General features: G+C 32.9%; 1 long non-coding RNA gene across 1 annotated transcript in view; it reads left to right on the top strand.

Annotated features, from left to right (window-relative positions):
- LINC02262 (long intergenic non-protein coding RNA 2262) overlaps positions 1-19,448 on the top strand; it is a 46,043-nt gene extending 26,595 nt beyond the window's left edge. Inside the window, exons 4-7 of the long non-coding RNA NR_147151.1 lie at positions 12,682-12,733; positions 17,897-18,200; positions 18,812-18,893; positions 19,356-19,448. This is a non-coding gene — a long non-coding RNA (long intergenic non-protein coding RNA 2262). The remainder of the gene's footprint in view (positions 1-12,681; positions 12,734-17,896; positions 18,201-18,811; positions 18,894-19,355) is intronic.
- The last annotated feature ends 2,121 nt before the right edge of the window (positions 19,449-21,569 follow it).

Below are 21,569 nucleotides of genomic sequence, written 5' to 3'. Positions count from 1 at the left end.
TGCCTGTAGTCCCAGCTACTCGGGAGGCTGAGGCAGGAGAATGGTGTGAACCCGGGAGGCGGAGCTTGCAGTGAGGCAAGATGGCGCCACTGCACTCCAGCCTGGGCGACAGGGCGAGACTCCGTCTAAAAAAAAAAAGAAAAAAAGAAAAAGAAAAGAAAAAAAAGAAATAAAGAATTGGTATAAAATATTTGTATATATTAAATGCTCAACATATGACATTTTACTTGATTTAGCTTTATGTATTTTCTTACATTTTTAAGTTGTACAAATACCTTTATATTCTTCTTTTCAGAGATTCTTTATGATCTGTCCAAGGAGTCAACAGAAATAGCAACTTTAGGACATCTGGTGTGTGTGTGTGTGTATAAATTAGGAAAACTAAAATATATGACTCCAAAGATAATACAACTTGTGACTGAAAATGTCTCAGGGTAAATATAAAACCAAAAAATCTTAGACATATATACGCATGATACACTTGCCTCAGGAATATTTTCTGTTGTGCTTTGTCATATGTCATTTCTTCACCACCTTACAAAACAGAATAAGAAAAACAAATCTGAAGGAGCAGAGTTTTGCTTGAATGCTAAGGTAGTATTAGGAGTTATTTCAGTGTTAGTAAACAAGATCCTAGGTTTTTCAAATGTCACTAAATTCTTTTGTTTTCCACAAAGAAATAAAACATCTAATACTCAGTATTCCTCTACTGTCTTATAACTACTTTAAAAGTCAAAAGAAAACATTGAGCTTATTAAGTATTCTGAAATATATTTTATAAAAATAATAATATTTGAGCCCTCATAGTTGAAAATGATAATAAAACAATTTCATTTCATTATTTTACAATCTGTAGCTTATTGATAATAAATAAACGTGAGCACACTTATAACATTATTATTGGCAATTTATGCTGTTAACTTTTTGGTAATTTATTTGAATGTGTGTAACCATTTTTCTATTTAATTGTCTTTTTCTTATTGATTTATGGACATTCTTTATAATTTTGCATAGCAATCTTTTATCAATTATTTGTTTTGAGGGATCTTATCCTTGTAAGTAATTTGAATTTATACTTTCTTTAATGTGCCTTTTGACAAAGAGAAAAATATTAATGTGAACATAATTAAATATATATTCTTTAAAATTTTGTGTTTTTACCTTATTATAATCTTCTCTCCCCTAAAGATACTTTGACATTCTCCTAGAAATCATTTTATAATTATATTATTTATCCATTTGGGATTGATCTGTGTAATGGACATGAATAAATCCTATGGGGCAAGTCTCCCTTCTGAAATCTTATTCTTTACGTTGTCATGATTCTCCCTGGTTATTTGTTCTTCCATATATACTGGAATTATTGAAATTATGCTTAATATACAAATCAATTTGGTGATATCAATATTATTACTGTATCTCTCTTAACAACTATTAACATGGCATGTTTCTCCACAAATCTGCATCTTCCTCCATGTGTTTTATTAATGTGTGTGTGTGTGTCTTTGTGTGTGTGTGTGTGTGTCTGTGTGTGTTGGCTAAACTCTTGCTTATATGTTATTAGGTTTATTTCTTGGTAGCCTATATTTGGATTGTTATGACAATTTGAATGAAAACATTAACTCTTTAATTTATAAAATGAATATTGTAGACTTATCCTGAAAATAAGATATAGCATATTCTTCTCTTCATATACTTTATATAATTTAATTGAAGAAAATAATCTGAAAAATTCCATTTCTTTGTTTATATAATTGTTTGGCTTTGGGTCCCCACCCAAATCTTACCTTGATTTGTAATCCCCATAATCTCCATGTGTCAAGGGCGGGAACAGGTGGAGGTAATTGGATGATGGTGGCGGTTCCCCCATGCTGTTCTCATGATAGTGAGTGAGTTCTCAGGAGATCTGATGGTTTTATAAGCATCCAGCGTATCCCTTGCTTGCACTTATTCCATCCTGCTGCACTGTGAGTAAGGTGCCTGCTTCTGTTTTGCCTTCTGCCATTATTGTAAGTTTCTGAGGCCTCCCCAGCAACGCAGAACTGTGAGTCATGTAAACCTCTTTCCTTTCTAAGTTACCCAGTCTCTGATGTTTCTTCACAGCAGTGTGAGAACAGACTAATATAACAATTTTATTGTTAATTCGTTTGAATTTTTCATATGCCAAGATTGACAATTTAGGAGCCTACTCCCAAGGAATTACAGTACATTGTCAAAAAAATGGAACTTTTTCCAATAAATAGCAAATGTTCTCTTTATATGAGAAATGGTTCTGAGTGTAGCATTCATCAGAAATTGGGACAGGCTTGGGAAGTGGACAAAGATTAGGTGTGTTTATGATATTTTTGTTCAGCTTTACTGACTCCAATTTCAAAGGAAACTTTTGAAAAGTTATTCTTTGTTTTAGAAGAAACTTCGAAGTGATATCATCTTTTCCATTGGGGAAAGGAGGTCAGAGAGAAATCCTTTGTTTTCTTGACATCTTTCCAAATTAAATCTTCAATGCCACCTCCAGCTGAATGATATTCACGATGAAAATTAGTGTTTCCCTCAAAGAAGACTTCTAATAAAAGATGAGGTTTTTTTCACCTAATTTTCCCTTTTCCTGCTTTAATTAAAATATAATTTATTAAACACAGCCATTGTAATTGAGGAAGTTTTGAGAAAAAGAGAAATAATAGCAACATTTGCCACTGACATTTTTAATGTTAAGTGTCATATTTCACAAGAAATTCTAGTGCTATTTTTAACTGTAGAATCTTAATTTAATTAATTTAATTTAGTGCTCCTTCTAAATATCGTAACAGCAGCAACTAACATATTTTCATTATTCAACATTTATTGATAGAAAATTTCCCATATGTATTTATATTATGACTATTTTATTAGTTCATGAAAATCCATATCTAATCCTGACAACCCCACTCTTGGAATTTAAATGGGGTTTGCTAGACAATAGTGTGAAAATGTTCTGACACCCTTGAAACTCACTGTGTCCTGTATTTGGCTACCAATGAAGGATGACTTTACTCAGACATCGAGTCCTCTACTTAGTATGTGACTTCCAGGAGTAGTTTATGTTTTCTAGACCCTTAAAGTTGAAAAATAAATTCCTGAGGAGATTGCAGGTCAAAGATAAACAAGGGTAAAAATACAGCTTGCCAAATGATAATAGCACTTATCTTAGACTAACAGCTACCCTGTGTCAAGCCCTATGCAGTGTGTTTTATAAGAATTATTTCACTTTATCTTCAAAGTTGTCTTAAAAGATTAGCATTCTTATCATTAGTTATTTTAAGGATGAAAAGACTGAAGCCCAGAATTCCAAATTAATAAGGCTAAATGAGAGAGAAGTCTATTTACTACACAGATCTTACCGGCTATCAGAGCCTGTCCTTTGAAGACAATGCTATTGGGTACTTCGTGTGTTTGTCTCCTCTTTCCATCCTGGGCATACTCTCAGCCTAAGCATCTCTTTATATGGGGCGATTAATTTGGAGGCATAGCAATAGAAAATGTAAATTCAAGAATGTTAGCATTCCCAAGAAACTGGGTCATTTGATCGTAATTTGAGTGATAATGGGCTTTACCACCTAGAATTCAACAAAATTTCAAAATACATAAAGTATAAACTGATAGAACTGGAAGGAGAAATTGATAAATCCATAATTATAGTTGGCAATTTAAATACTCCTGTGTCAATAATTGATAAGTAGATAGAGAGTCAATAAAGATACATGAGAGAACAGCCAAACAATATCATAAACCAAATTGACATAATTGGCATTTAGGAGACCAAATTGACATAACTGGCATTTAGCACTTTATTTAAAACTGAAAATATGCCTTATTTTCAGGGGCTCATGAATTAGTCACCAAAATAGACTATATTCTTAACCAGAAAATAAATCTTTATAAACTTAAAAAAATTTGTTATTCAAAGTATATTTTTTGATCACAATGAAATTAAATAAAATTGAGAGAGAGAGAACTAGCTAAAGTACTTCTAAAAACTGAACGGTGAGGGAGTCAAAGGAAGAATAAAAAATAAATTACAAATAATTTTTAAATAAAAATAAAAATGCAGCATACTGAAATTTATGCATGCCACTAAATCAGTAATTTATAGTGTGAAAGATCTGCATTAGAAAAGAAATAAGATCTGAAATCAATTATCTCAACTTCTACCTTTAGAAACTAGAAATAAGTGAAACAGGAAAAATTTCTGGAAACATGTAAAGGACTAATACACTGAAAACTACAAAACGTTGAAAAAATTATGTCTTAGATAAGCAAAGAGATACTATGTGCATGAATTAGAAATCTTAATAGTTTTAAAATGTCAATTCTTCTTAAATTGACCTATAGATTTAATGCAATCTTAATAAAATTCCCAGGGGTTTTTGTCTTCTTTTTAATAGAAATGACAGACCACTTTCAAAATTCATATGGAAATTCAAAAAGCCATTTATAAAGCTTATATAAAGAGTCATAACAACTTTGAAAAATAAAGTTACAGGAATAATGCTACCTAGGTTCAAGGCTTATTATAAAACTACATTAATCATAGAGTGTGGCACTTGTGTAAAGACAGACAGATAAATGAAACAACTAAGAGTCTAGAAACAGACATATAAATATATGAACAACTGAGTTTTTATAAAGCAATTCAGTGCACACAGGATAATCTTTTGAATGAATAGTGCTATAGTTATTGAATATTCATGTAAAAAATGAACTCTCTTAATACCTCATACCATATACAGAAATTAACTCAAATTGGATCAACATGAGTAATAGACCTAAATGTAAAACAAAATACTATATATCTTCAGGGAGAAAATACAGGAAAAATATCTTTATGGCATGAAATTAGGCAAAGATTTTATTGATATGTCAATGAAAACACAAACCATAACAAAAAAATTAATGAGTTGGACTTCATTACAATTAAAAATAACACTTTGAAAGTCATTGAAAGAGAATGAAAAGACAAGCCACAGACTGGGAGAAAATATTTGCACATCACATATCTCACAAAGGGCCTGTATACCAAATGCATAAACAATTCTAAAAACTCAAATGTTTACTGAAACTTACTAAAAATCAAACAATCCAATTTTTTAAAATAATCAAAATATTTGAGCAGATACTTCCCCAAAGTAGCTGGATGACCAACTAATCTATGAAAAGATGCTGAACATCATTATTCACTAGGAAAATGCAAATTATAACACCACATAGCAACTTTACTTGCCAAGTACATCAATGTGTGAATAGATACATAAATTGTGTTGTTTCCATGCAATAGAATACTTCACACCAGTAGATATAAATTAACTACTTATTCATGCTACAACACAATAAATCTCAAAATAATTATGCTGAGTGAAAGAAGCAAGACAAAAAAAGATACAGACTCTATGATTTCTTTGATATAAAATGCTAAATCAAACAAACTAATCCACAGTGACAAAGCAGATCGTTGGTTGCCTGGGGCTGGAGTGTAGAGACAGGAGGAAAGGAATCCATTGCAAACGGCATGAGAAAACTTCTGAGGATAAAGGATGTGCTCATTATAATGACTGGTGATGGTTAAACAAGTGTATACATATGTCCAAACTTTTCAAACTGTACATTTTAATTATGTGTTTTAAATACCATATTCTCATGGAATAAACAAACCAATCTGAACAGAAATTGACCTCTGTCCAGGAGAGAGAGGAAGGAAAACCACTTACCTCTTTAGGAAGGTGACTTGTGTGCTTTCAATTTGACAGCACTTGTGGATGTCCTTGAACCAAGAGTAAAATCAAGTAACAGTTCATTGTTCATCAAAGCCAACTGCTCTATAAATAAGTGTTATCAGAGTTACACTCACTTTTTGGTCGAAACTTCTCACAGAATGGAATATTGTAAGAGCTTTTTTGCGAATACTGAAAGGACAGTGGTAGGAGTAGTGAAAAAAAATTCAACAGGACATAATAACTGTAATTGAATAAAATATATGAATAGCAGCTAATTCTTGGTAAAAGGAAACATCAATCTTTTAAAAAGTACAGTATAAAAGACACAATTGAAATGAATAACTTGTACCCAATTCTTGCTTGGCTGGATTTGGATTCTGTAACAATAACTCCCAGTCTGCCCTAAAGTACAAACATCATTGCCTTATTCTCCACTAGCTTGGAGAGAGAAAAGTTACACGAAAACTGCATTTTGTATCCAAAGAGCGGTCTAAAAGCTTTTTAATGCAATGTCACACAATTTTCTTGGTATCTTTAAATTTAACTGATGCCATTGAAAGCCATCATCTGACCATAAATGGCCAGTATCGCTTCACAGCTGGCTTTCTTCTTAAGCATGAAGCAGCTTTGTCTAGATGTGTGCTCCAGCAATGCTTTTTTCACTTTACTTTCATTTGCTTTATCAAGGAAAAAACAGACTTTCTTTTCTGCCCATGCTAGAGAACAGTCTTTTCAACTGGAAAGAATAAGACTGTCTTAACATAATCCATTATTATCTCAGTAAGACACTATTGATGCCAGGAAAAATTAACCTCGAATTACAAGTGGTTAAACAATTTAACTAGTTAAATATAATGTTACTCCAGAATAATATATATTTGTATAAAATAAAGGGAAATTGACTTTGCTGAAAATTATATAGAATAACTTTTGTCATTTCTCAAAATAATTAGCATGGCAGTATCCAGAGTTGGTTAAAAAAAGATTATTTTTTATTTAATGATTCTCTGATAGTAGTTATCATTCAGCAAATACAAAATTATTCATTATTTTACTAAATCAGTGTTGTTTTGGAATTTCTTCAATAGTTGTTAAGCAGTATAAAATTATTTGATGGAGGGGAAAGAAAAAAGCAGACAAAATCTTCCACAATTCTTACTATAGAATAAGCCATTGAACAACTTCTGTTGTATCTTGCATATATGTTAATTATTTTTCTAATACTTAGTTTTGAAATTTTAAAAACTGTGCTAAATGAAAAACATAAACACATAAAACATGTTTTATGAAAAACAAGTATAATTTTATACACTTTACTTTTATATTTTTATGTTATGAATTATTTTGTTTAGAATATTCAAAAGTATATAGTCTAAACAAAATAATTCACAAAGTATAGTTTTGAATATTCTAAACAAAATAATTCACGACATAAAAATTATATCAGGAATTGAATAAGATGATTATATGATTTAAAATTTTTTTCCTACTACTTGCCTAGTAACATATGGATAAATTCTTTTAAAATATTTATACAAATATTTTAGTACTCATCCTAGAAAATTTCCCTATTGTACAAATTGCAAAACTGTATCTATCACAACACATGTATCTAAATTAGCCATCTTTTGGCCTATCTGCCTTTTGTCAATATGCTTTTGACCCTTGCATCTATGTCTCTGTCTCCAACCTCTCCTTTGAACTAAATATTTATAAATTAACTTCCTCCTGAATACTTCTAACTGGTGTATTGGTTTCTTACTGCTGCCATAACAAATTACTGAAATTTTACTGGCTTAAAACCACATAAATTTATTTTATTACAGTTCTATAGTTTTGAAGTCCAACATAGGTGTCCCTGGGGAGAAAACCAAGGAGTTAGCACAGCTGAGTTCCTTCCTAGAGGCGCTGTGGAAAATCTGTTTCCTTGCCTTTTCTAGCTTCTAGAAGCCCACTGCATTTCTTGGCTTCGTGGCCTCTTCCTCCATGTTCAAAGCTAGTGTCTTAGTGCTGAATCCTTCTCACTCTGCCATCCCTCTGATTTTCTCTCCTGCGTCTTCCACTTTTAGAGAACCTTGTGATTACATTGGGCCTACTAGATGACACAGGATTATTCCCCTTGCATTAAGGTCAGCTGGAGAGCAGCCTTAATTCTGGTAGCATATTCATAAATTCCAGAGATTAGAATGTGGACATCTTTGGAGGAATTATTATTTTGTCACCACAATAGTCCATCTTGATATACACAAAATACTCTTCACTTTGTATTACAGGTCAGTTTCTCCCCATCCTTCTCCATCTAAGTAATTACTACCTTCAAGCCAATTATATGAATAGTCTTTGATTTCTCTCAGTACCTTTCTTCCTTATTGAACCCAGCAAGCTCTGTGGATCTAACACCAAAAAAAAAAAAAAAAAAAAAAAAAAGGAAGAAAAGAAAAAAATGGAATACTTTTACTTCCACTGTGACCACACAGTCTATGTATGCCTGGTCGTCTTTACCTGGAAGATTACTTTAGCCTCCAAACCAGTCTGCCATTCTCAACATGGTGTCTAGGGTAACATTTTAACCATAATTACATTTATGTTACTCACCTGCTAAAAATCTTCCACAGGTTCCATTGTGCTTAGGAAAAACATTCAAACTCCGTATTTTGGTTCCTGTAGTCCCCCAAATGTGGTCTTCCCTCTTGATGTTTTCCAAACACAATTTTGCCTTTTTTCTGCTCCTTATTTATCTTAAACACTTCAATACAATTCTGACTTTATTCAGACTTTGAGCACAGACTTCTCAGGTTGAGGGTTGGGTCCCTCACAAGATCCTCCTCACTTCAGGCACCAGCCGGAAACTCCAGGGTTTTGTGGCCATCTGTGCTTCTGACTAAATGACTACAAATTCTGTGGTTTCCACTGCCCCATCAGTGTGGTCATTTGCTAGAATGACTCACAGAACTTGGGAAAGCACAATACTTAAGTTTACAATTTTATTATAAAGGATACAAATCAGAACAGTGAAATTGAGATTGTTGTTCAGAGTTTTTATTGCAGTTTCATTATGTAAGCATGATACATAGAATCATTGACCAGTGATTGAACTTTAGTTCCCTTCTCCTCCTGGGCATTGGTCTGATATCACCTGGACCAAACCCCAGGTGATATTACATGGCTGGTTTTTCTGGAATGGCAAGCCTCCACCTGACTCATTTTATGAACATAAACTCTGGGACCCACAGCAAATAACAAAGACCTTCCTATCACAAGAAAGTAAATTCTAAAGATTTTAGAGGCTTACTCATAATAATAGAGGACAAAGACCAGTCAAATGGTTGATTATAGACCAAAGTTAATCTCCTCTGAGATGTTATGATCTTACAGCTGCACTGCATGGAATACCATACTCCCTGTGGTCTAGCTCCTTTGCCTATCACTTCTTCAGAGACAGCTGTCCTTAATAGCCTAGGAAAAGTTGCCCTCAGTTCAGACTGCTATGCTCACTCACACTTTTATGTTTTCCTTAAAGCCTTTTTTACTTTCTCAAATCATATTGTTTGTTTACTTGTTTACTAATTGTCTCCACACTAGAATCCTACGTGAGTGCCTTGAAAAGGACCTGTTACATAGTAGGTACTCAAAAAATATTTGTTGAATAAATAAATATCTACTTGACAGGGATGACATCTTTTTAAAACATTTAGTATTTTAGCTAACAACACTCATTTTCCTTAGACTTGCAAGTGATGACACACTTAATCATCTGTCTACGCTCATTTGTTATTCCAATATCATTTTATGTCTGGCAGGTTTGTATCTTTACTGTTGCCTTCTGAAAACTACAGAGCACATTTCATGTTGTGTTCAACACATCATTCTGCAAATAGCTCTAATTAAGTATGTTTTACTCATTGAAATATCAGTTACTAAAAAATACTACTTCGATTTAAAGTCTTTTTATAAATATTTTTAATACTGACTTAAAAGCAAGTTTTTTTTAAATGTGTGCAATGTGAATCTCTACAAATATAGTTAGTGGTTTTAGCTTTATTTTCCTTAACAAAAATTTACGCCAGTTTTATTTTTATACTTTTTTGTGCTTTCACAGTTTTTTTGTGAAGAGAGCTTCTGTTATTTTTAAAGTTGTGTCAGAGATAACTACCCAAAGGGAAAGCCTTAAACTCTAGAATTAAATATAAAAGATGAGCATAAGCATTCATGGTCTTTGTATGGTGAAGCAGGGTGAGGAATACTAACAATATGATTTGAGTGATAAATATTATTTGCATTTATACTTATAAGATGAAAATAAAATTGGAAAATACTAATTATTGACTTCCACCAGGTCTTTTTAGGCAAAAGGCTGATTCTAAACTCCTTACCATATAGCATTAAAGGTCACAACAATTTGGCCATAACTTCTCTCTCTAGTCACAACTGTCCAAACTACTCTTTGGCAATCATATTATTTCTTTCACTCTAAGGCATTTCCTATTTTGCAAAAAATGTTGGTACTGTTTCATGACTGTGTATCCTTTTGTATCAATTTTCTTCATGGAATATCTCTTTCCATTTATTTGCCTGGAACGCTCCACCTGCTCTCTTTTTAATTGAACTCAATGTTCACTTTTGCTGTAGTTCTAATCTCACTCTCTAAGAAGATTTGATTTTTACCTTTCTCTGTGCTGTCAGTGCATTCTATTTAGAGTTAGTTATAGCACTTATCATAACATATTGTGTTCATCTACAGATTATGAAACATTAGTCTTAGTCTATCAAGAAAGTCCTATTAAACAATAATATGAGTTTCACATTTGAATGAATATGAGAGTATAGTCTCTAATCTCAAATGTTGGAGAGAGAAGTATAGCTATGTTAGAGAAATTAAAATTCAATTCATGATATAATAAAGTTTAGAAGTGGGCTAAAATTAACAAAGATTTTGTGAAAGACAGGACTTGAGGTATGACCTAAATTAAAGCAAATGGAGGGATTTCATATGTATGTAAAACAAGGAAATAAGAGATCACCATGAATATGGTACGTTAAGAAGGCTTAAAAGCCAACCCGACTAATGTTGAAAATATGACAAATGAATCTATAGATAAATAATTGTTGGTATAATTGTTGGTAATATTATAAAAATAATCTAAAATCAAAAATAATTATAACCATGTAATCATTACTTTCTTATTTTTGGATTCACAGACATTGTCCCCAAAACAAATATTCAAGTGTATATTTGGGAAAAAAATACTGTTAGGTCAGTAGGGTAAATGAGACAAAAAAGAAACCAGCCTATAAAAAATGTATTTTTGAGCCAGTATCTGTGTGTGTGTGTGTGTGTGTTCACAAATGTACATATACTTACACTCACACAAACCCTCAAACATCTACCACATAACCTCAGTTCACCATGTGAGAGCTACCCCGTTCCAAATCCATGTGATAATTTCCCTCTGATTATAGGTAAACTCTCTTCCAACCCATCCACAGTAAGTCACACATGTCCACCTGCAATTCTCCCAGTGCCCACTTCTACAAGCAGACTTCAGGTGTTTTTCAAGATAAAGTGCCATATTTACTGTGGTATTTATGTATTTCTTAACAATATGATATGTATAAATGCTATTATTTTCTATCAGATTTTTAATGTGTCCTTAATGAAATTTGGAGTGTATGTCCTCTTAACCACATTTTCCCCATATGCATTTTGTAAATTGTGTTTTTTACAGTGTTGTGACTTTTAGGAATGCATATATCACATTAAAGCAGAAGTGACTACATTTCTAAATATATTATACTTTTTAAAAATATTCAACATTTCTCCATCTGACTCACTTCCAATATTTTACATTTTAGTGAATGGCATCATAAAGCTAAATATCTTATGGTTATAATTGAGATATATATTACTGCATATCATGCCATCTGAGAAACCTAAAGTCTAAAATTCAGCCCCACAGCTCAGTCATTTGTAACTATCTATCATAACATTATTTATTTATATTTTACTGTGGGAAAAACCTACTGATTACTCTGATTAACCCATCGGTCAATTTCGAGATTTGGCCCAATTTTCTAATAATCATCTCTATATATTTTGACTCATAGAGCTATATTATTATCTTTTACACATGAAATATTCATATATGTATAAATTCTCTAGTTTTGTACCACTGTGGATATCTACAATGATACTGTGGAACAAATATAAATAAAGTCAAAAAGTAGATAAAAACAATAATCTTCAATGCATTTTACCTTATTTTATATAGTGTCAAAGGTCAATATAATTGAATATGTTTAGTTCTATCTGAAAATTCTGGTTTTATTTCATATGATACTGTGATCCTAATATCTAATTCTACATTCATTTCACATCATTACTTGGTTTTAATGACTGTCATAGATGAGAAAGATATCAAAATACATTGATTCTAATGGAGTAAGTACCTGATTGGCTTCATTATACTAATTAATGACACTTTCTTTAAGTCATATTTATCAACTATGCAAAATTGTATTGAGAAATTTTTGAAACTAAGCTCAAAAATTACTCTCTTCCCTGATGCAAATCCATTGTTCTTTAAGAACTGTTACTTCTGTTCAAACTGCCCCAGCAAAATACCATAAACTATGTGGCTTGAGTGCAGTGTACACTGCTCAGGTGATGAGTGCACCAAAATCTCACAAATCACCACTAAAGAACTTACTCATGTAAGCAAACACCACCCATTCCCCAATAATCTATGGAAATAGAAAAATTAAAAAATGTAAAATAAATGTATTCTTTATAGTTCCAGAGGCGGGGAAGTCCAAGATCAAGGTATTTGCAGATTTGGTGTCTGGTGAGGGTCCTCTTTCTTAGTCTAGTTTTGTTGCTGTAAGAGACTACCATAAACTGGGTAATTTATAAAGAAAATATATTTATTTCTTACAGTTCTGGAGGCTGGAGAGTCCAAGGTCAGGAGGCTACATCTGCTTGGCATCTGGTGAGGGCCTTCTTACTACATCATAGCATGAGAAGATATTCACATTGTGAGAAGGCAATTACAAAAGGAAGCTGAGGAAGCCTAATTTATTTTATAACAACCCACTCTTGTGAGAACTAACCCAGTCCCTTGAGACTTGGATTAATTCATTCATTAACATTTTGCCCCCACAATCCACACACCTACCACCAGATTCCACATCCCAACACTGCTGCATTGAGTAGCCAGGTCTCCAGGTCTCCAACATGCAAACTCTTGGGCGACACAAACTATGGCATCTGCTTCCTGGTTTAAAGACAGAGCCTTCTCACTGTGTTCTCACATGATAAAAGAACAAAGTAGTTCTCTGGGTTCCCTTTTATAAGGTCACTAGTCCTATTCATAGGGCTTCATTCTCATGATCTAATCACCTCCTAAAGACCTCAACCTCCTAATATCATCATCACCTTAGAGGTTGAGATTTCAACATATGAATAAGGGGGGCAGGGGACAAATATTCAGGCCATAGCAAGAACAAATCAAAATGAGTTACATTTTAATAATTTTAGCAAATGTATGTAATTCCAAAAAAAAAAATTTACACAAAAAAATTCAAAAGAAACTGGAATATTTATCATTTTAATAGTTTTCCATTGTGAGATTTTTGTAAGTAATATATTCATATTATCTTTGATATCAAAATCAGTGTGTGATTGCAGGGAATTGCAAATAATTAAAAGAGATTAATACTGGTTCCTTTAGGTAAAAGATTAAAAACATATGTGTGTAACAATGGCCACCAAATCAGAACACTCATGATTTAAAGGGCAAGCTTCCCTGGCTCCACAACTGACCCCAAAGATACTCATATGCTCCTGACACCACCTGACAGAAGTGAAGTGCCTACCTCGATTTTCATGAAGTTTAACTTCAATGTATTTTGGGTTTGTTTTGGTTATTGCTTATCTTCCCTCCTTTCCTATAATAGAGACTCTGACCTCACATATTGCATTCTCATTGGGTACAAATGACTGGAAACAATACCAAAATATCCCTGCATATTTCTTGCATGTTTACTTAAAACTAAACGTATTAAGACTAATGTGGTACAGCCTTTATGCAGGTGGAGACTCCATGCCTTACTGAAGTGTCTTCCAACTGATGAAAATATTTACAATCTTTTTCTTTTTTCAAAATGCTCTCTCCTTAACACAAAAATTCTCTTGAAAAGTAGTTGCTTTTACCTTAAAGAAAAAAGTATGCATTTTTTAAAAATTATCTGCTTTATGATATATTTCTGACATCTATTTCTTGGATGAAAAAGTTTGTCAGAAATATATCATAAAGCAGGTAATTTTAAAAGAAATAGATCCCAACCTATTCAGGACTTACACCTTTTTGTAAAATGCGAAATTTGTATTTAGGCTTGCGCGAACTTTTGTATACTCTGCAATGATGTCCTTTCAGCACTTTGTGCACTTTTCTTTATTAACTATGTTATGAATAATTCATTGAAAATTAAATCACAGATAGTGCTTTAGTATTCATTATGATCACATTCTCTAACCTCTTAATTTTTTTCAAGCTAAAGTAATCACTTCATCAATAATATCTGTACATAGTTTCCACCCAAGCATTAATTTTTGTTTTAAAGTCTTTGTATTTTTTCTCTGGTACCTCATTCTTCTAATAGATCAAAAAAAATTCTTAAAGTATTTTGTTATTGAAAATGAATTGAGAAAATGCCATAAACAGATATTCTAGGAATATCTGAACATACCGCAACTGCTTAGCAAATCTTTCTTACTGTAATTTATTCTAACACCGTCAAATTCTTTGCATTGTTTTTTATGCACTTTAGCAATTGTTGGCAAAGAAATGCACTTTATTTTGTAATTATATTGCTTTCTGTCTTCAACAAATTTAACATCCTTAGAAGAAGTAGTATTTTCACAATTTTATTTGTCTTTCTTCCCGATTAAGAAATCTTTTAAAAAATATTCACAATTTTAGCATTACATTTGGTGAAATTTTCTTAGCTACTTAATTGAGCATTACATAGACTGAATTTGAAAGAGAATATGTGGATGTTTATCTCTTCATTTTCCATGTTCTGGGAACCTAGTTCCAAATTTCTTAACAATCCTGTTTGACACTACCGTTAACTACTGTTCCAATTTATTGAGTTATTGTCTCTCTTTTTAAATGTCTTCCATTATTAAAATCCCTATTCTATGTTAATGCCAGAGTAATTTTTTTGAAAAGTAAACAATTAAGAAAGTTTCTTCAATGTTTATGCATGACACCATAAACATTGCCCAAATAAAAAAAGTATAAATTACTTTAAAAACATACGAGACCCTTTATAATCTGATCTCAGTATTTATCTCCAGTATGATCTTCATAAGTGTCTTCCTTATGGTTTGTTCCTATATTGCAGTCACTTAAAATATCTACTTGTCTTATTTTCATTTCACTGTGCTTCTGCATAGATTGTTCTTTCTGCCTAAAACTGCTTCCTCACGTTCTCCACCATTCAAAATGAAGCCCTATCTCCAATGTTAACTGACTTCTGACTTTTTTTCTGATTCTTTTGACCATAGCACTTATTATATTATATTACAATTGATCATTTACCAGTTTACATTTCTCTTTTGAGGACAGGCATTTTACATGAAGAAATCACATCTTGCTCATTTATTATGTACCCTAATGCCAAGGCGAATGTTTTTCTGTAATGCAATGCTAGGTATTGCAAAATTATGCAAACCACGACAATAATAATAACAGCAACAACCCTGCTACTTATTTATCTAGAGTATAAAATATAACATGCAAAAAACCACAATTTTTCAGATAAATACAACGCTTTAAATATTCCAATAGAATACATTTCCATTTATTTTCATCTATAACCTTAAGACAGGTCTGTAACTTTTACTCCAAAATAACAATAATCAAGTTGACCTTGAAGAAAGGACTCTTCCTTCTATTGCTTAGATCTGTTGCAGAGGACTTTTTATATATCATCTCCCTTAATTCTTATAATAAATCAACATATATTTTCTTTTCTACAAAATTAATGTAGTCATTAAAGTAATTAGTTGAGCTCATATTTAAATGGCAGAGCAAACATGAAGGTCTCTCTGATTCAGCAACTTGTCGTCTCTAATACTGAATGCTTAACCCCAAGTTTGCAACTTCAGCAAACTTACTTCAAGAAATCAATAAATGCAGTGGCTCACGCCTACAATCCCAGCACTTCAGGAGGCTGAGGCGGGTGGATCACGAGGTCAGAAGTTTGAGACCAGCGTGGATGACATGGTGAAACCCTGTCACTACTAAAAATACAAAAATACAAAAATTAGTCGCGCATGGTGGCACATGTCTGTAATCCCAGCTACTCGGGAGGCCAAGGAAGGAGAATCGCTTGAACTCGGGAAGCAGAAGTTGCAGTGAGCTGACATCATGCCATTGCACTCTAGCCTGGGTGACAGAGCGAGACTCTGTCTCAAAAATAAAAAAATGATAATAATAATTTTTAGAAATTTTCTAATTGTGGCATCATTCTTCTGTTAGAAATTCTATATAAATTTTATAGTTTTTATTTTAAATATTTGACTTTTATATACTTTTCTATTTCCACCTATATTTCAGTTGTTTTGCTGCTTGATAAGTGATACATAATTTAGCAATTGTGTGTTTAGAAAATTATTTTTACATACACATACACATACATCCACACACAAGGGACTTCACAGTGACAAAATCAACTTTAAAATTACAATATTATGTGTGCAACTATGTATTTGTTATTGTTGGTATAAAGGTACTAGAAAAAGAAACAATTGAAGTATATTTCTTCATATTTTCAAAGATTAAATGTCTTAAATATTTCTAAGATTGCCAAATATTAGGTAAAATACAAATATTAGGTAAAATACATATATGTGTGTGTGTGTATATATATGTATATATATACACACACACACACACAATTTGTATATATATACGATTTTTCTTCTCTAAATCTGACTTACCTGTACAATTGGGGAGAAAGATAAATGTGTGCCTAAGGAAAAAAAATAAAATAAAAAATGAAAAGGTGAGAATAAAATGCCTAGAAGTATTAATTTACCTGGATGGAGTAAAAATCCTATTAGCTAGAGGAGTGTTAATTCTTTATTACTATAAAATAGGAAAGTATAGAAAACAAAAAAAATAGAAAAGTATACATAAAAGTCAAACATTTAAAATTAAAAAACTATAAAATTTACATATAGTTCTAACATTCTTTTTTCTACAGTATAGGAAATTGCATATAAGAAGGTAAATTTTGTTTTGTTTTTTTGGAAAGACTCAATATTGTTTCTCCCCTTTCCAATAATGAAATTCAAGCTCACAGCCACCAAAAAAACAGCAAACAAAACAAAACAACGACATCAACAAAAACAGGTGTACAGTTAAAATCTGGTGGTCCAAAGGGAGCTTGGTTACCCATGGAAGCTTTGAATAGAACTTCATGTCAGCAGCGCCAATCTGAGCAATTGGTAGGATACATGCCATCTTGACCAAGGTTTCAGTGTAGCTCAATCTAACTGTCAAGTGATCCTCATTCTACATATTAGACTATATGACTGCAGTTTAAATGATAAAATTCTTGTTTCAAGACCATACTTATTGTCCCCTAAAAGCCCTTGTCTTCCTAAAATGTAGCTGAACACATGGCTTTTCAGACTGTAGTTTTTATTTTCTAGCGTCCTGGCAGGTAGAAATGGTCGTGTGATTAACTTCTGGCCAATAGAGTATAAATTAAAAATATGTGGCCTGGCGCAGTGGCTCATGCCTGTAATCCCAGCACTTTGGGAGGCCGAGGTGGGTGGATTATTTGAGGTCAGGAGTTTGAAACCAGCCTGGCCAACATGGTGAAACTCCTTCTTTACTAAAATTCAAAAATTAGCTGGGTGTGGTGGTGGGCACCTGTAATCCCAGCTACTTGGGGGGTGGGGAACCCAGGAGGTGGAGGTTGCAGTGAGCAGAGATCGCACCATTGCACTCCAGCCTGGGCAATAGAGTGAGACTCTGTCTCTCAAAAAAAAAAAAAAAAAAAATTGTGTGTGCAACTTTCAGAAAAATTGTTAAAGAGAATGATCATGCCCAGCCTCTTTTCTTTCTCTCTTCTAGTTGGTTGGAATGTGGGTATGGTTGCTGGAGGTGAAATAGAAATTCTGAACCAGGAGCACATTTTGGAAATGAGGTCACCACTGCACAACAACAGAGTAAAAGAAGTCTGTGTCCTGAAACCGAGAAACACCATTCCAGTCCTGTAGCTCCTGCCTTATTTTAACAAGAGACAGAAAGAAATTCCTATTTTACCTAAGGCCCTGTTAGTTTGAGCTTTCTCTAACTTTTGGCTGATACTTAGCAATCAGCAAGAAACTTTATGATTTTGTTTTTGCTCCTAGGTCTACCTGAATGAAGGAAAAAGGTATTTTAATATTGCAGATTGAAGTAATTTAGTTTACATGACTATTATGTTTGGTAGTGTAACAACACATTAATAAGAACACATAAAGTATTAAAGTCAACACTTACAATGTTACCTGCCAAAATTAGCAGGAAGATGAGTTCCAAATTAGTCTCATGAGATATATTGGCTGAATAACTTACACATGGATTCACTCTATGTGTCCTGAATCCGTCAAGTTTTCAAGACTGCTAGGCTCAGAGCTAGTCTAGAGTAGAAAATTCAATGAAGAATTTCACTCAGTGAAGCCTCTTGGGTGACAGTCAGCAAACATTTTCATGAATATATTCTTAAGCTATGTGGCTTCTCAATTTGAAACACTATCAATCCCTGGACAATTAAACGTTGCCTGAAACATAAGAATGAAAGCAAGAATAGCAATTAACTTTGAATCCTGAAGAACTGATATTATTCAAGTAAAGGAAGGAAACAGCCATACCTCTAGAAACTTAGGAGAGAATGTCTCAAGATACCATGGCCAATATGATAGAATCCTGGTATAGTTACTATGCACTATACTATTTGCCTAATAGAGTGACATTACAATTGCTGAAATGCAGTCTTCTTCACAGACTGTCCCGCGTATTAATTTCAACTAGAAAAGAGATAAAGCGAATTAATTTTAAAAATATTTCTACTAACCTCTAGATTCAGGTAAGTGTCCTAAATAGTTATCTTTAAAATTAAGGAAAATATGCTAGAAATAAGATAAGATTACTTATTCTATACAAAACTCTTTAAATAAGCCTAGGTAAAAATAGTAAATTGCTTTAAAAATTTTATTTACATTCTTTGTTTCATTCTACTAAAATCGTCATGATTTTATGATTACTATTATAGTAATCTGTGTCACTATGTATAGACCAAAGCTTCTTTGTACCCACATTGTGAAAAATGTACATTATAAAATCAATGAATGATAATGGAAACTTAAGTTCTATTATTCTTTAAAATCATTGTATATAGGTAACATATTCCCAATCATCTCTTTCATTGCTGAGCATTTAATTAATTCACTAATTATCTTTTTAAAAGCATTAGTGCAGCAATGATTTTTAAAATACTGTAACTTAATGTTAGATTTAATGTTAACCTAAAAAACTGTTTTGTTTGCAGAATATACATTCACAGCAGGCTGATTTATGCTGTGATAAGAAGCAATCTCCAAGTTTCCGTGGCTCAACGCAATAAATGTATACCTAACTCTAAGTCTACTGTTTATTCAGTCAATACTTGGGCAATTTCTATCCATATGTAGACTCAGTCTCCCAAGCATGTTGGAACACTGAGTGTGATGGCATCTTCTTATCACAGTATATTTTCCACAATCATCAAAGCAGAGAATGAATGGCTAGAGAGTAGAGCACCAGACATTAAATGTATCTACCTATAAGGGCACACGTGTCATTAATAAGACAACTTCGGAGATAACATCAAGAAGGTAAGGCATGCCAAAATTCTATGTGTCTGGAAGAAGGAGATCGGGAAATATTGTTAAATTGTACTAATGTCTACCATACATGCCACATATAATATAGAAACACAGAGAAATTACTTTGTCAGATGGTCTGAAGGAAATAATGGCAGAGGGGATTATATTTTGTGAGGTGGGTAGAGGCATGTGGATGATGTCATGGATATTCCTGCTGATATTACAGAATTAAAAGAAATCTCTACAGATAACATGAGTAGATAATCCCACTGTTCTCATTCCTTTCTTTGATCTAAAAATAGCATTTCTTTGAGTGTTTACATTGTATCCAAAATTCATTTGTGTACAAATAAAAAAAAATCAATCAAATGCGGTCAGCCACAAAAGAATGTAAGCCAACACTGGAATGACAAATCTAAAAAATGAATTTCCACAGATGCTGGCAGTTTGCAATAATGAAAGGCTGCAATATTGTCCTCTTACTGGTATGGCTCATGTCCCCCATGGTGTGTGATCACCCCTGTTGCAACTTTTTATTTATTTATTTTTGAGACAGGGTCTCACTTTGTCACCCAGGTTTGGTGTGCTGGGACTCAGATGCGCATTACCACACCCGGCTAATTTTATTTGTATTTTTTGTAGCGACGGGATTTCACCATGTTGTCCAGGTTGGTCTTGAACTCCTGAGCTCAAGCTATCCAGCTGACTAGGCCTCCCAAAGTGCTAGGATTATAAGCATGAGCCACCGCGCCCAGTCTTATTGCAACTTTAAAAACTACAGTGTTGTTCCTAGTGGTCTTTAGACAATGGCCACTAATATCTCTCAGCTTTTTCCTCCTACACTTTCTACCCTCCAATTTCTTTATAACACCTTTATCATTACAAGTAGCTAAACTCAGCCACACATTTAGTTGCATTTTGTTTTGATAGCACAAGTAGATTTAGAAGATAAAATAGAATGTGTCAGTGCAATGGCACTGTAAATTCATACAGATGCAGTGTATGAAAGACATGGCTCACTATCAGTGAGCATATAACTCAGGTTCACTGCTAAGGCTTGTGACGCAATTTCCCAATCATTTTGCTGACCCATCTTGCAATAGTCTTGAATCTAAATAATGAGGATAAATCTAATGTGGAAAGAAGTATAAAGCTGTAACTGGGAAAAAAAGACATTGGGTTATTTATGGAATGTTGGCCAACAATATTTTAACACTGTTCATGGGTGGAAAAATTATTTTGCTTCCTCTAGACATACTCAAAATATAACTTAACATTTTGAGGAACTGATTTTTGGTCTCTTGTGTCTCTTCCAAATATGCACGAAGATTTGAAATAAAATATGCATGCCAATTTCTATATATTTATACAAAAGCATACACACTTGGAAGGTATATTAGTCCATGCATCTTATTTTAGATATGTCATAATGAAGACACATGAACTTGTAGTGACTTTTTCAAAACTACTTCATGACATAATGCAGATCAATTATTTAAACTATAAATGGATATACAACTTGTATATAGAATAATATATCCAAAGTTATTTACAATTATTTTTAGTCAATAATCCAATATACACCTTGTGAAATCATCTGGTTGGACTTTCAACCCACAATTTGAAACTTAGGAAAACAAAATTACATTTTAATATTTTGTTATATAATTTCTGTTTGGGAAACCAGTTAATCTATGTTTCCAAATCTCTTCAACTCCTAGAGATATAAGAGATTCTAACAAAATAATTCATAAGGAATCCACCTCAGCCATCCAACGGTTGGTTGTCAAGGTTTCTGTCAAGGTTCCTGGGGCTTAAAATTATACTTATGTTAATGAAGTGAAGGAGGCAGCTCAAAGTCATTGGTGATTTCCCATTTGTTTATACACTTCACTGCT

Source organism: Homo sapiens, chromosome 4, assembly GCF_000001405.40.
Source record: "Homo sapiens chromosome 4, GRCh38.p14 Primary Assembly".
NCBI classification, from domain to species: Eukaryota; Metazoa; Chordata; class Mammalia; order Primates; family Hominidae; genus Homo; species Homo sapiens.
This window is presented reverse-complemented; position numbering and strand designations above follow the sequence as displayed.